Here is a 16,880-nt window from a genome sequence, read left to right as displayed (position 1 = left end):
GATTTCACAACCTGTTCTTGGCAACCTGAAACAACAGCATCACTGTTATTTCTCTCTACTTACCAACTCAAGATTGTTCCATAACTATAGCCAGCCTTCTACTTCCCACGTCTATCTGGCTATCTTCCCACCATATCTATTTCCATGCCACTCCCACTTCTCAGCCTTTAACCTAGGTCCTTTTGTGAACATTTTTTGACATCAAATCACCTAGTTTTATACCATTTTTCTCCAGAGACACTCCTTCGCTATGGTTGATTGAGATTTCTAGGACCCTGTGGTAGATGCCTTTTATTCTCACCTGATTAATAGGCCTGTTAATTAATTAGTCAAACATTTACAAGGTGTTTCACATCATGCAAACCACCGAGTTCTGCCAAGGAGTTCACAGTGTGGTAAAGGAGACAGACAAGCAAAGGCACAATTAGAACATGATATAAGGCTGGGCACGGTGGTTCACGCCTGTAATCCCAGCACTTTGAGAAGCCAAGGCAGGAGGATCACTTGAGCTTAGGAGTTTGAGACCAACCTGGGCAACATAGAAAGACCTTAGTTTTCAAAGTAGCTGAACATGGTGGCGCACTTCTGTGGTTTCAGCTGCTCAGTAAGCTGAGTTGGGAGGATCACTTGAGCCCGGGAAGTTGAGGCTGCAGTGAGCCACGATCATACCACTGCACTCCAGCCTGAGTGACAAAGCGAGACCCTGTCTCAAAGGAAAAAAAAAAAAAAAGAACATGGTATATGGTATAATAAGTGCTAGAAAGAGGAATGCACAGAACAGAAACACCTACTTCAGCCCAGGACATCAGAGAGGGTTCCAGGGGAAGTGGATGAAGAGATTTGCCCATCAGTGATAAAAAGATGTGAATGCATAGAAAATCTCAATGTTACAAGTCATATTCAATAATTTGAAAGAATTCACTACTGCTAGAGATCAGAGTCAAAAAGAGATAAACATAATAGTGATGAAGCAGGCAGGAATCACTCTGCTCAGGGCCCTGGATGCCACCCTCAGTTAGTTAAGATGTTAATCAAAAGGTTATGGGAGGCATTGGAAGTTTTTGCTCCAAAGCCTGAACAGCGTGATCAGATTAAAAACACTAATGTAGCTGCAACACTGAAAACATTGGAGATGGGGAAGGCTGAAGAGAGAGAGACCAGATGAAAGAGTAATTTAGGGAAAAAATTTACTCCCTGAACTAAGGCAATGGCAGTAAGAAGGTAGGAGAGAGGGCATATCAAAGATATTATAAATACAGGATTGAGTGAATTTGGCGGTCAGTTGGATGTGAGGCAGGAGGGAAGGGATGGGAGGAGCCTTAGGAGCAGTTGTTAGGTTTTTGGCTGGGTGGATCCATTCTTCCCACAGACATTTATCAAGAACTTTCCATGGGACAGACACTGTATCAGGCCCCGGGGATGTGGCAGTAAACAAACAAAATCCATGTCCTCATGGAACCTAATTCTAGTGTTAAGATGCAGACAATAAATAAGTAAAATATATAATATGCCATATGGTGAAAGGTATCAAGGAGAAAAATAAGGCAGTAAGAGTGGATGCAGAGTGTCCATAGGAAGAGGGGCTGATGCTGTCATCAGCAGACTCAGGTATGGAGCTCTGGATGACGAGCAAATGAGAATGTTCATTTGAGACAAGTTCAGTTTGAAATCTCTGAATTACCTCCATTGGAGATGCCCAGTAAGTGGTCGGAACAGGAATCTCGAGGTCAGAACAGGGATCTAGACTGAATCTGTAAATACGGAATAATCAACAGACTGCTTATCATTTAAGTCATGAGGATGTATGACAGCAATTGGGGAATTATTCAGAGTGAGATGAAAGGCCTACAGGAGGATTCCTGAGGGCCTCCAGCAATGTCAGGGAAGCCCTGGAGAGATGCGCCCAAGGGCCAGAGGAAGAATGACATGAAGAGTAAAAGGAGGAGAAGAGCTTGGTGTCAGAAGCCAAGGGACAAAAATGTAAAGAAGAACAGTGTGATCAACTGTGTTAAATGCTGTGGATATAAAATAAGAATTTAAAAAGTTCTTTGGGCATATAACTGTGAGGTGACTTGGGAGAACATGAGTGCTTTCATAGGGTTGAAGAAGGAAGGGCAAAAAGAGAGAAGGAGAGAGACAGACAGACAGATAGGGAGAGAGAGATTAAATAGGGCAAGATCCTGGAGGAGACAGTAGGATGGGAACTTGATCCAGAGATACAGGAAGTTAATGTACAGAGGGAAAAATAGAGTGTAGAGATGCAGATTAATTTATTGAGGATAGTAATAAATTAGGGGTAACAAATGGAAGAGATTCTCATCTGATTTCTTCTACTTTCTTTGTAAAGTGGAGCCTAATGTAATGTGCTTAGAATCAAGAGGAAATGGGGAAAGTCAAGGGCTTAGGGAGTAAAGTTCCAAACAGCCATTGTAGTTTATATGAAAAGTAATGGGTGAATTGCTTGGCTGTGTTGAGATGGGAGAACATATATTTGCAGGGGCATCAATTTCCATGAATGAATGGCTTGAATTGAACACAACCACGGAGTTGGTATTTTGCAAGGGAAGTTTGAAGGAAAGACACGAAGCGAGGGAGTTGGAGCTCATCAAAGGGATTTGCAATTTAGAGTTTCAGAGATGGGGGAGTTGGAAGTATGACAGAATTCAGGATGTGACTGTAAGTGGATGAGTGACAGTGGACACAAATGTTCTAGAGTTGAGCAGATCAAGTATGTGTATGGCTAAGTGATTGGACAGGTTAATTTCATTGGCATTGTAAGTACTTTTACTCCTATCTGGTTTGTTTGTTGAAAATGCCAAAGAATATTTATTGATAATAGAAAAATATTTTTTGATAATGCTTTGGTTTTTTAGAAAAGAAATATTAAAAAGCTCCTTTATCCTCTGGCATAACATTACTAATAAATTATTTCATTCCATTGATCTTGGTTCTCAAATGCATCTAAATCCTGAAGAAATCTAATGAATGAATGCTCCCCGAGTTGTGCAAAGATATATCTGCTTAGTCTTTTAAATATACCAAGATCATAGCTCTGCATCATTCTGCTGTACTGAATGCTCAGTGGGAAGCTGTAACTGCTAGCATACTTACATGCTTATCGAAGTGGTGGATATTTATTCATGCTTCTGTGATGTTCTGCCCCGTGCACCATGTGCCATAATCATTTGGTTGGCTTTAAGAAAGAATGAAATTTCCAATGAGAATAGATAAATGGTCTGGCAAAATAAAAAGTGTCACACCTCGTAGCTCCCTCGATAGCAAATTGAGAATTTGTTTGCTGGAAAAGAAAATGAGGATCATAACAGATGAAAGGAAATGGAGACAAAATACAGAGAAGTCGACTTTAAAAGATGATTTGTGGCCATTGACTGCATCCCCTTCACCAGATCATAGACTGATTTAAGTGTGTTTGCTCACAGCCTGTGGGGGCAACGTCTACATCCATGATGCTGATTCTGCTGGGTATGTGACCTCCCCCAACCACCCTCATAATTATCCCCCGCACGCTGATTGCATTTGGATCTTAGCGGCTCCACCGGAAACACGCATACAGCTGCAATTTGAAGATCGATTCGATATTGAAGTAACACCCAAGTATGTCACTTCCATTTTCATTTTTTTCCTACCCCAAGTTAGTATTTTTTAACCGTCATGTCTCAAAACAGTCCATTTCTTTCAGTAGCACATACTGCAAGGAAATCTAGGGGAAAAGGGAAATGCTTAATGGCTCAGGCCTGAAAACACAGTCGGCCAGCCACTCTCCCATCAGCTGAGCCGGTTATGTACGTGGATACTGTCCCTTGTGACCCTAGACACTTCCTGCAAGGGACACTGAGGGTGGCTACTTGAGATTGATGTTATCCATTCTTCCTCCCACAGGAAATATATCATGTTTCTGATAGATGAATATTTATTTGACCAGCCTCATATTCGGTGTCACAAATGATAAAATGTCTGTTTAACAAATGGGAATTTGTGTGGTGTGTCACCAGGGGTCAGCACTGTCGGAACAGTACTAAAGCATGCACAGTATAATTTCTCAGTCTTTATTTAATAAGAGTTCTGAAAGGATTACAAAACAGTAAGTCTTACTATGTTGAAGAGAAAGAAAAACTATATTGATCGTAGAAAACATTTTTCTCTTTCCTTGAACAAAAGTATGTATACATTTGCATGAATGCAGCTGTGGTGCAAAACTTGGATATAAGATCTTCTGTTGCTATTTCTGGCACTGGGTCTAATACTACTTTTCCACTCATGGAGCATTAATTGGCTAATGTGACTTCCTGAAGAAACGTTAGATACATGCTTATCTACTTTTATGGACACAGAAAATTCCAGTTGGGACGCTCCATTAGTCCCAATTACAGAGCTGTTAGAGAATTTATCTTTGTCCTGTGAAATGTATCAAGTCATTGTGTGGAACAAAATATTTGTTGTTTTTTGAAATTCCTAGGGACTAATTTGAAAGCAACATTTATGTTTGTAAAACCAATACAGAATATGGAAGGGAAGTAAATATTCTTGAATGTAGAACATGTAAAACCTGTCTTTTGAGCTACTAATAAAAGAATGTATTATTAGGAAAAATATCATACAGCATTTTAAAGTGACATGGCTTATGCTGATTCTATCATAGTTTTTTATGCTAAGAAATGATGATTTAATAATATCTTCAAAGAAAGTAAGTAAGGTTGTCATTATCAAAATAAGCATCTGACCATGTAAATTTAACAGAATTTTGTTCCCACTTCAGCTGTACTTCCAACTACCTTGAGTTGCGGGATGGAGTGGATTCGGATGCACCAATACTTTCCAAATTTTGTGGGACATCTTTGCCCAGCAGTCAGTGGTCCTCAGGAGAGGTTATGTATTTGAGATTTCGATCTGACAACAGCCCCACACATGTGGGATTCAAGGCCAAGTATTCTATAGGTAATAATTTTTTTAAAACTTTTATTTTAGGTTCAGGGGTACATGTGCAGATTTGTTATATAGGTAAATTCGTGTTTGGGGGTTTGTTGTAGAGATTATTTCATCAGCCAGGTACTATGCCTAGTACCTAATAGTTATTTTTTCTGCTCTTCTCCCTTCTCCCACCCTCCACCCTATCAAATGAAAGAAAATTCCGTGCTCATGGATAGGAAGAATCAATATTATTAAAATGGCCATACTGCTCCCCAAAATTTACAGATTCAATGGGATTCCTATCAAACTATTATGACATTCTTTGCAGAACTAGAAAAAACTATTTTAAAACTCATATGGACCCCAAAAAGAACCCAAATAGCCAAGGCAATCCTAAACAAAAAGAACAAAGCTAGGGGCATCACAATACCTGACTTGAAACTATACTACAGGGCTACAGTAACCAAAACAGCATGGTACTGGTACAAAAATAGACACATAGACCAATAGAATGGAGTAGAGAGCTCAGAAATACGGTCTCACACCTACAGGCATCTGATCTTCAACAAAGCTGACAAAAGCAAGCAATAGGGAAAAGATTCCCTATCCAATAAATGATGCTGGGAGAACTGGCCAGCAGTATACAGAAGATTGAAACTGTACCCCTTCCTTATATCATATACAAAAATTAATTCAAGATGGAGTAAAGACTTAACTGTAAAACACGAAACTATAAAAACCCTGGGAAACATTTTTATATTAAATAAGAGTTATTATAGAATGAATATGTTAAAACTTTTTTAAAAACCATGACTTTTTAAAAATAAGTCTATTTGCCTAATTTTAAAAATATTTTAATGCTAGAAATAAGTAAGGAGTGTAAATGTTTGAAACTACAGTCATTAATCAACTTTAATTTCTCTTTTAATTTTCATTTTAAAAAGTAATCTTAGTAAACTTAAATATTTTATATTTTCTCTAACTTATTTGTGAAGAAATATATGTGGTTAAATCAAACTCCTGTTTCTTCAGCTTACTATGAAATACAGTAGTTCTCTCTTATCCATGGTTTCATGTTCCATGGTTTCAATGCCCTTGGTAAACAGAGGCCCAAAAATAGGTGAGTACAGTACACCAAGATATTTTGAGAGACCACATTTACATAACTTTTCTAACAGTATACTATTATGATTCTTCTATTTTATTATTAGTTATTGTTGTTAATCTCTTATGTCTAATTTATACAGCAAACTTTATCATAGGTCCATATATAGAGAAAAAAACAGTCTATATGTCTGTATAGGGTTTGGTACTATCTGAGGCTTTAGGCACTCACTGGGGGTCTTGGAATGTATCCCCCAAGGAAAAGGAAGAAATGCAGTATGTTTATTACTTTAAGTAATAAAACCATTTAAGAACCAGGTAACTCTATTTAGCACAGTGTCTTTGAATTCCTCATCAAATATAAAATAATTAACCTTTTTTTTCTCTGAGTCTCTAGTGCCAAATCAGTCACTGGATAAAAAGCAAACATGTCAGTGGGGCATGGTGGCTCATGCTTGTAATCCTAGCACTTTGGGAGGCTAAGGCAGGTGGATCACGAGGTCAGGAGTTCAAGACCAGCCTGGCCAAGATGGTGAAACCCTGTCTCCACTAAAAATACAAAAATTAGCCAGGCATGGTGGTGGGCACCTGTAATTCCTACTACTCAGGAGGCTGAGGCAGAGAATTGCTTGAACCCAGGAGGCGGAGGTTGCAGTGAGCCGAGATTGCGCCACTGCACTCTAGGCTGGGTGACAGAGCAAGACTCTGTCTCAAAAAAAAAAAAAAGAAAGAAAAAGAAAAGAAAAAAAGAAAGCAAATATGCCTCTTCAGCATTTTGATTTCCTTATTTAAAAAATGAGCGGTTGAAGATTCACTATAATATGGTCACAATAGCACATAATTTGGTATCTAATAGGTTTAGACACAAACCAAACAAATATTTAATACCGCGAAAGTTCAGAAAGCCTAGTGGTAACAATGTTTAACTACACCATAGATCGTGTTATATCCTGAGTCAAGCTGCATATAATTCAATTAGCTATCACACCCAGCTAATAAGACATAATTGAATAGTAATTTTCAAGGCCCTGAGATATCAGTTACTGTAGTGAACTGTTTAGTTGAGAGTAAAACTAGGAATGGCAGGTGTCCCCACAGTACCCCTTCCAGCTGAGCTTGGGTTCAGTCTTTAGGATCAACACAGGGTACTAGGCAGGCCAGATCAGCCTATCAGTTGGTTCTTGAGATGAAACTTACTTGCGACTATTAGCTCTTACATAGTGTCCCAAAAGAATTAATGTGACATTACAGAATATTCCATTTAGTCATCATCTTCTGTTTCCCATTATTGTATTGGACTTGTGGTATCATTTCTGTTTACATCAACAGTAGAATTCAAATAATGAGGAAAGCACTAACCGTTTTCAGAATTTTTAAAACTTCAATTCAGAGTCACTTGGCACCTAAAAGTTTTCAAATGTGCTGGTGAAATGAAGAAAACAAAATTTGTAATAGAATCAATCTTTCTTGCTTGCTTGCTTTCTTATTTATTTATTTATTTTTATTTTTTGCAGCTCAGTGTGGGGGAAGAGTACCAGGGCAAAGTGGTGTTGTTGAAAGCATTGGACATCCAACACTTCCATACAGAGACAACTTATTCTGTGAGTGGCATCTCCAGGGGCTCTCTGGACACTATCTCACCATCTCTTTTGAAGACTTTAACCTTCAGAATTCTTCTGGCTGTGAAAAAGACTTCGTGGAGATCTGGGACAATCATACCTCTGGTTAGTAAAATATATCTGCTCTCTTTTGGGTGTTTATTTTCACATGTACTTATTCAGCCTCTGAAGTTTCTTCACTTCCAAGAAAGGCAAAAGCACATCTATACTCTGCAGAGAAGTGCAGACTAATGAGCTTTGGGCAGTACTGGTGATTCTCTCCCTCAATTCTACCATTAACAATGGATGCCCAGAGCCCAGGTGTCATATAGCCCACCCTGGAGGCCACTTGGGGAGAGCAACGGTAGTGGGAAGGCACCTCTTGCTGCTGAGACATCCCATTGCCACATGCCGTTATTTGAGGGGTGTTCTATAGCTTGAGATGGGGAAGGGATCATGCATGTCTCCTAGTGGTAGCATAAGGCAGATACTTGTCACTGTTGTCTCAGATCATTTTTTCAACCAAATGAGCAAGCCTTCCTCATTGTGCTGAGATATCCTTCCCCTAATTGGTTGCATTTTTTTCACTTCTTCATGTATTTGAATATGTTCATTTTTATTCATGTTTTCCTGTTGTCTTGACAGAGATTAACGTTTCTTCATAGGCAGGGTCTTGTTTTTTATTATTTTCTTTGTACACACAGGACACCTTGAATAGAGGGTAAAGGAAATCAATCACTTGGACATGTATATTTAATTATTTGTCTCTCACAGGAAACATCTTGGGCAGATACTGTGGAAACACCATTCCTGACAGCATAGACACTTCTAGCAATACTGCTGTGGTCAGGTTTGTCACAGACGGCTCTGTGACTGCCTCAGGATTCAGACTGCGATTTGAATCCAGTATGGAAGGTGAGTTCATTGATTCATTCAACACAACATTGAGCACCTGCATTGGACAGACACTATGCTAGGCACCAGTGTTAAAATATTTGAAAAACAAAACAAAACATGACCCCTATTTTCTTGGACCTTAATCAGAAATTCACAGTGATAAATGAAAAATTACAGCTGTGATCAATGCTATAAGGGAAAATAACTAGTATCACGAGAGAGATAATAAGAGGATGAGAGTTATACTGTAATGCCCACCTTAAGAGAGTCCTGTAGTTACTCAGAATTTGTCTTACTGCAAACCCAACAAACTCAAATGAAATAAAGATCTTGTTCAGAAAAACTGGGTACTTAACATTAACTTTCTGATTTTCCTCTTTTTTTTTTTTTTGTGAACATGGGGTCTTGCCTTGACCTCCCAAAGTGTTGGGGTTACAGGTGTGAGCCACCACTGCTGGCCAATTTTCTTGATTCTTTTTTTTTTCTTTTCTGAGACAGTGTCTCGCTCTGTTGTCCAGGCTGGAGGGCAGTGGCATGATATCAGCTCACTGCAACCTCTGCCTCCCGGGTTCAAGCAATTCTTCTGCCTCAGGCTCCTGAGTAGCTGAGATTACAGGCGCACGCCACGACGCCCGGCTAATTTTTGTATTTTTATTAGAGACGGGATTTCACCATGTTGGTCAGGCTGGTCTTGAACTCCTGGCCTTGTGATCTGCCTGCCTCAGCCTCCCAAAGTGCTGCAAGTGTGAACCACCATGCCTGGCCCGATTTTCCTGATTCTTAAGTTCATTACATTCATTGGTCTCTCATTTCTTGGGCCATGATGATAACTAAATTGCTGCCTGTGGACTATCACCCATGGAAGGCAGGGTTAAATATTAATAGAGATAAAAAATGAATGTATATGTTCACTAAAATCCTCATGCACATAAATAAATATGGAGACTAATTTTATCTAGAAGGATAATTTTTAAATACCTGAATTTTGAGAGCTTTCTTGATGGAAGGAAACATTTTGATTTGATTGAAAGTTTTCTTGGCTTTTTCCCCACGTCAGAGTGTGGTGGGGATCTTCAGGGCTCTATTGGAACATTTACTTCTCCCAACTACCCGAACCCAAATCCTCATGGCCGGATCTGCGAGTGGAGAATCACTGCCCCGGAGGGAAGGCGGATCACCCTAATGTTTAACAACCTGAGGCTGGCCACGCATCCGTCCTGCAACAATGAGCATGTGATAGTAAGTGTTCCCTGCCGCCTGAGATGTTATATTCCATCATTTAAAGAGTTTACCGACCCATAAATCATAGTCAGAAAACTAGGTCAGGAAAATTGCCATCTATGCAACTATAACTCAGACAAATTCTAAGTATTGTTGAAAGAACAAAATCACAGTAACCTGTCAAAATAATTGTAAAAGTTGTTTGAAGAGACTATCAGCTATCACTCTGTGCATCAGGGTCATAGAATAAATTTTAAGAGTGAATGATCACGACAAATGGCAAAACCGGAGAGGCTGTGGGAAGCTAAGCCTACAGCAGCACACAGCTGAATGGGACCAGAGTCACAGCACAAGCCACCACGAAAGTTCTGAGCAGGTGGGTGGTCCTGCATAAGCACTGCTCTCTCCAGGGGTACAGAGGGACTCTTGGTGGGAGAGCACTGCTACGTGACCTCCATGTCACCAACCTCCAGTGGTTTCACATGTGTCTTCAGCACTCTCAGCTTCCTGCAGTGAAAGAAAGCAAATGAGATCCCTGAGTGTGAATAACAAATAGATTGTTAACTGTGAAGTGCTGTGCACACATATGTGTGTGTAGATAGGAAGATTGGATTAATATTAGTAAATTTATCCACCCAACTTGCCCCTTCTGCAGTGTTTGTTATCTCAGTAAATAATTCCAAACTTCTGGTTGCTTGGGTCAAAAATCTTGATGTCTATTTTGGAATCCTTCCTCTCACACCCTATATGGCATCTATAAGCAAGTCCCATTGGGTGTATCTTTAAAAATATCCACAATTGAACTATTTCTCATCATATCTGCTACTAATACCCCCACCGTTCACTTGGATTATTTTAGAAAGTTCCACCTCGTCCCCCTGGTTCCGTTCTCCTCTCCCTACGTTCTCAACACAGCAGCATGTGATGGTTTTAAACCTCAATCGGATCATGTTGCTGCCTTTGAAAATCCTCTAATGGCTTCTCATCTAACTCAGAGGAAAATCCCAAATTGCACCTGTGGCCCACCTGGCTGACATTATCTGCTGCCCCTCCCTCTTCTACCTGTTTGTCTTATCTCAAACTCCTCTCTTCTTTGCTCTCTGGGATCCAGCCACCTGGCCTCCATTCCGTTCCCTGAATGTGCTGAGATGCTCCCCATCTGGCTGTTGCCTTCATCTGGAATGCCCCTCCCCAGATGGCGGCCTGCTCCACACCCTCACTTCACTGGGGTCTCTGCTCGAATGCCTTTTAATCCATAAGGTCTAAGTACCTTATATTACAGACCCCACCCTGGCCTGACCCTTCTCTGCCATGTTGTTTTGCAGCACTTCACACCTGCTGCCATACATCATTTTGATTTGTTCATCAGTTTATTGTCTGCTTCCCCCACTAGAATGTGAGCTCCTTGAGGTCAAGCCACAGTTTCATTCACTGCTGGGGATTCACTGAATCCCCAGTGCCTGTACATAATAGAGATAAATAATTGTTGAATGAATGGATAGTAGAGGTACTATCATTATCCCTTTTATAACAAGCCACTTTTGTTTTCAGTTTAATCGTCTCCTGTTGGGTAGTGAATTTCAAAAATATGAAATATCTTTGTATCTTATGACCACTTTGTATTGCCGTAAAATGATCTTATTCAACCTTCAGATTTTATTTCCAAGTTCTAATATCTGAAGGACTGAACTGTTTTCTTTCAGATCTTGAAAATAAGAAACCAAGTGTGTTTTCTTTTATTTGAGAGCCAGGAAATTTTGGACTAAGGTTGTTTATTATAAAGAAACTTTTTTCCTATTATTGATTGAATTATATAAACAAAGATGAAGTAGAAAAAATACTAACCACTCCCACTATACCACATTTTGATTCATTTTCTCATCTCTTCTTGGCAAAGCATACTTTATGTACTTGTAATCATGTGATATAAATCCACTTGAATTCTGATTTTAATCTATTTTTCTGGTTATAAATATAATGGATGCTTATTGAGCAATATTTGGAGAGTTCAGAAAATAAAAAATATAAAGATATTTTTAATTCTACTCATGTATTACTAAAATTTTGATGTATGTGCTAACAGTTGTTTTTTACCTTTGAAATTATTTTCATAGTTTAAATCATACTGAATATAATGATTATCAGGAATTTTACAAGCAGAGTATTCACATGTCCTTTAGGAAAGAGAATATGAACAGTCATAGTTTTAGATCTCAAATAAAAGTTACAGTCACAACCACAAATTCCAAAGCAGATCTTACTTGTCATCTCCCTATCCCTTAATTATCAACTTATAACTCTTGCAGCTACTGCTGGTGGGTTTTATGTCATTATTTCTAAATAATATTCCTATTCTACTACTCCTTGCTTTTTTTGGACATTATCTATCCACATCCTACTCTAGAAGATGAGACTTACCCCTTTGCCACCACAAACACACATGGGGTATGCAATGTTTATATACTTTCCCAATCGTCTCCCAAAATACGTATGTCACGCTTTTGCTTAAATTGCTGTTCAGTTGACATTACCATGATTATGTAAACACCATTCACAACTGAGCCAAGTAGTGTAGTATGGCAACATTTGCTTTTGTTTTCCTAAGGAATAATAATAATTGGGTCCTCTTTACATTTTCTTGGGTTTTATGCATTGATCACCAATTCGTCCACACCCTCTCCACCCCAGATGTGCATCTCTACCTTCTGTAGTAAAACATATCAGTTCCATTTCTTTTCCTCAGTAATATCCTTCCTTGAGCCTTTGTACGTCAGCTGCAAGCCTGATGCTAGCTGTCATTTCAGAATTTCCCTTTGCCATCAAATGTGCAAGTTCCTTCATTCTTCTCCTGGGCTAGAGAGCTGACTTTGTGATGCTATGCACGTCCCTTTCTTGGTTAATTTCCTCTTTTGGTGAGGCATACCCTCTTGCGGCTCCCCAAGGAAATGGGCAAGGGCAATAAATCTTTTGAAAAATGGTATACCTGAAATTATCTTTATTTTACCATAAATCTTTGAAAAGTATATATTTAAATATTTTATATGTTTGATATATTAATATATATGAATATATTAATAATAATTTTGAAGTTTTGTGTTGCTCATTTGGGGTCAGTTTTCTTCATGTTCCTATCTCCTGTTTACTAATATTGGTCTCTGCCTTTTACATTAGTCACTTCCCTAAATGTCTGCTGATCCTTGGCTATTCATTCGTATTTAAGAATGAATTACTGAAAGGATGACTGGTATCTCTGTATGCATGAGGGGGCCCTGACTCTTTAGCAAAACCTGCAAACCTACAAATGTCATATCCACAGGTCTTTTCTCTTGGGGAGGTTAAAACTCCAGCGACGAATCACTTTCAGAATTAATTTTTCTTCTGAGTCTTTAGTTCTAATGTCCACATTCCTTTTTTTGAAATGTATTTTTATATGTTCAATGTTTATTTTGGTTCCTCTTTACCCTGCTCCAAACAAGGGCATGTGGGTTGGCCTTTGCCCCTACTCTATTTGATTGAGAACTTGCCGAAAAGAGGAAGAAGAAAGATGAAAGAGGAAGAAGAAGAAAGAGAAGGAGAAGGAGGAGGAGAAGAGGGAGAAGAAGAAGAGGGAGAAGAGAGGGAGAAGGAGAAGAGGGAGAAGGGGAAGGAGAAAAAAAGAAGAACAATAAGAAGGAGAAGGAGAGAAGAAGAAAAGAAGTAGAAGAAGGAGAAAGAGAAGGAGGAGGAGAATGAGAAGGAGAGGGAGAAAGAGAAAAGAAGAAGTAAAAGATGAAAGAAAAAAAAGAAAAGAGTGAAGAAGAAAGAAGATCTGCTGGTGCAGAGGAGGCAGCTTTAACTTTCATTGCACTGCTTCCTAGCTAATACCTTATCCAGCTGGAATGAGCCTAAAATTTCTCTAAACCCACCTGCCTATCTGACTCTCTGTACAGACAGAGAAAATAAAAAGCTATGCCACCCAGTGTGTCCTACAATAAGACCTGTGTCTGATGTTGTCCCTGCTCATAGCAGATCCTAAATCTCACGTGCCTGCTTCCTATCCATTTGTACTCTGAGAGTTGTAGTTTCTAAGTACAAAAGGGATTAGAGGACAATGATGGGAATTGCATTCTGGTTGCTTCTAACAGCAGAAGTCCATGTGATAAATGGATGACTATAACATGTTCAGTCATTGTGATTCTATGCCAAAGGCAGACTCAGAGGCAGGATAACAGCCATTGATCACAGTTTCCGACATGTCCCATTAACCTTATGGTTGGTTCTAATCCCTTTTGATTCCATCAATGTGGTGCCCATTCCTGTTTTCAGCATTATAGAAATATTTTTCCTCATCTGTTTCTTTATGCATTACTTAATGGTTTGGAATCAGAGGGATGGTTTGAATCCCAGTTCTATTATTACATCATCTTTCTGGATTCTGGTATCTTAATCTGGAAAACAGGGATACTGTTATCTGCCTGGGAGGGTGTTTTGTTGATTAGATAAGACAGGCTGAGTGGATGATAAGCAAAGACTGGCATTTTTGTCTGCTCAGTAAATGATAGCAAACTCTTCTTCTGGTCCAGTGAGCCAGAAGACACTTTACACCAGAAGCCCCCAGAGAGCTAAATTTGATTAATTATAGTAAATTTAAAGAGATGACATCTTGGCCGGGCGCGGTGGCTCACGCCTGTAATCCCAGCACTTTGGGAGGCCGAGGCGGGTGGATCATGAGGTCAGGAGATCGAGACCATCCTGGCTAACAAGGTGAAACCCCGTCTCTACTAAAAATACAAAAAAAAATTAGCCGGGCGCGGTGGCGGGCACCTGTAGTCCCAGCTACTCGGGAGGCTGAGGCAGGAGAATGGCGTGAACCCGGGAAGCGGAGCTTGCAGTGAGCCGAGATTGCGCCACTGCAGTCCGCAGTCCCGCCTGGGCGACAGAGCGAGACTCCGTCTCAAAAAAAAAAAAAAAAAAAAAGAGATGACATCTTTTGTTGTGGAGTGCATTCTCCTTCTGCATAACTGTTAGTGCCATAGTCTGAGTCATTATTTCTAATCTTGAGTCATTCAAATCCTTTTAAAAATGGGAATATCAACCATTCAATCAATGAATTATTGTTCAGTTATTTCATCTAGATTTTTTTTGAACTGTGAAAACCAGTCATGCAAATTCATTTGATTTTATAAAGCATTGGAAGAATAGTTTGCGAATTATTGTAACTATGTGAATGACTACAGCTATTATTTAATATTTTAGAGTCAATAATAATCCATTATTGGAAATTCAAATAAGTAAGAAAATTGAAGCTTTGAATCCATAACTAATGAGGAAAGAACTATTATGTTTAATTGCAGATGGAGATTGATTTTTCAAATTACTTTTCAAAGTATTTAAAAATATCTGCTTGCTGGGTGCTGTGGCTCACACCAGTAATCCCAGCACTTTGGGAGGCCAAAGCAGGTGGATCACCTGAAGTCAGGAGTTCAAGACCAGCCTGACCAACATGGTGAAACCCCATCTCTACTAAAAATACAAAATTAGCTGGGCGTGGTGGTGCATGCCTATAATCTCAGCTGCTTGGGAGGCTGAGGCAGGAGAACTGCTTGAACCTGGGAAGTGAAGGATACGGTGAGCCAAGATCACACCGCTGCACTCCAGCCTGGGCAACAAGAGCAAAACTCTGTCTCAAAAAATAAATAAATAAAAATTAAAGTAAATAAAGAAAAATATCTGCTTTATTATGTACATGAAATCATCAGAAACTGATATTTAAGCTTCCCTTCCAAGTAACAAATGTCCTGATGCATTGTTAAGAAAAACTGCCCATCAGTGAGCTCTGCAGACCACATTGTAAGCACAATGGCTCATCTCCTTTACATTGAGAGCACAGTTTCCAGTTGCAAAGTGTATAGCAGCTTTTAATCTATCACCACATGGCAGGAAGGCATTACTGCAATACTTTCATTCTAGTGAAATCACCCTGAAGTCACAAAATGTGCTCGGGGTAACAGTGGCTTGTGGCACTGCGATAGAAACCTGCATTGTTAGGTCATTCATTTTGGGGCAGGGTTCCCATAAAAGGAAGTGGGTCTGGGCTGGAAATATCACCTCCTAGGAAATATGCAGTAAGATGGATTGTGTGCCTGAAGGTTAAACTCTTTTTCCAACAGGTATTCAATGGCATTAGAAGTAACTCACCCCAGCTAGAGAAACTGTGTAGTAGTGTGAATGTAAGCAATGAGATTAAATCTTCAGGAAACACAATGAAAGTCATTTTTTTCACGGATGGATCCAGGCCATATGGCGGCTTCACTGCTTCCTATACCTCCAGTGAAGATGCAGGTAATGTAGGATGTTGTAAATGCCCCCCATTTTAATCAGGGGCACTGCAGATGCCCCCATCTACTGCCAATGGCAGCAGAGCCATCCATTTTCCCTTTAGTGATACTTGAAATCTTTGACATAAGACAAACACACATAAGCAGATGAAAAACGCACTGCAGACAGAAAAAAAGCTTTCTGATTTCAGAAAGAAACTGCCATAGTGAATTTAAAACTTTTAATGCTATTAGATTAGCTTCTAGCACAGTTTCAGGTCATGTTACCATGAGGGTTGGTGACCTGTTCCGTAGTCCCTGGTCAATTCTTTTGTGCTGAAAGAAACCATCTACCTCCTAGAGGGTAACTTAGTCTCAGAGAGTAATTAATTTTGCTGGGGACAGAACAGGCTTTATTGTTTCTAGTCATCTATCCACACACATATTTCCAGTGAAAATAAATGGGAGGTTTGATTTGATATAGAATATTCCAAAATTAAGCAAGATATGGCCTCTAATTATAAATATCCTCCTATTTCCTGAATTGGGTTCAAAATTTTAAAGGGTTTTAAATTTTAGAAGTGGGAGTGTTTTAAAATTTAGAAGTTTTAAAATTTAGAAGTGGGAGTGAATATTAAAAGAAAAACGCTAAGTTATTTCATTGGTACAAGAAGCATCTGTTCCTTTATTAAAAGGGGGCAAATTAATGGCAAATTAATGTCCTATTATCTGTTTGATTTAAAATAATTTATTAGATCAAGTGGAGAATTGCTAATCAAGCCATTAGGACCTGCCACCATTATATTTATGTATTCCTCTAAAGTAAATATTAATG

At 39.2% G+C, this 16,880-nt stretch overlaps 1 protein-coding gene across 5 annotated transcripts in view; it reads left to right on the top strand.

Moving 5' to 3' along the window:
• CUBN (cubilin) overlaps positions 1-16,880 on the top strand; it is a 305,846-nt gene that overhangs the window by 206,234 nt on the left and 82,732 nt on the right. For all 5 annotated transcript variants that reach the window (NM_001081.4, XM_011519710.3, XM_011519709.3 and 2 more), the window contains 6 exons: positions 3,441-3,615; positions 4,778-4,956; positions 7,548-7,757; positions 8,406-8,546; positions 9,586-9,767; positions 15,899-16,070. In NM_001081.4, the coding sequence (NP_001072.2) occupies positions 3,441-3,615; positions 4,778-4,956; positions 7,548-7,757; positions 8,406-8,546; positions 9,586-9,767; positions 15,899-16,070 (1,059 nt within the window). The remainder of the gene's footprint in view (positions 1-3,440; positions 3,616-4,777; positions 4,957-7,547; positions 7,758-8,405; positions 8,547-9,585; positions 9,768-15,898; positions 16,071-16,880) is intronic.

Source organism: Homo sapiens, chromosome 10, assembly GCF_000001405.40.
Source record: "Homo sapiens chromosome 10, GRCh38.p14 Primary Assembly".
Taxonomy (NCBI): domain Eukaryota; kingdom Metazoa; phylum Chordata; class Mammalia; order Primates; family Hominidae; genus Homo; species Homo sapiens.
Note: the sequence above shows the minus strand (reverse complement) of the source record. Positions and strands in the feature narration are given on the sequence as shown.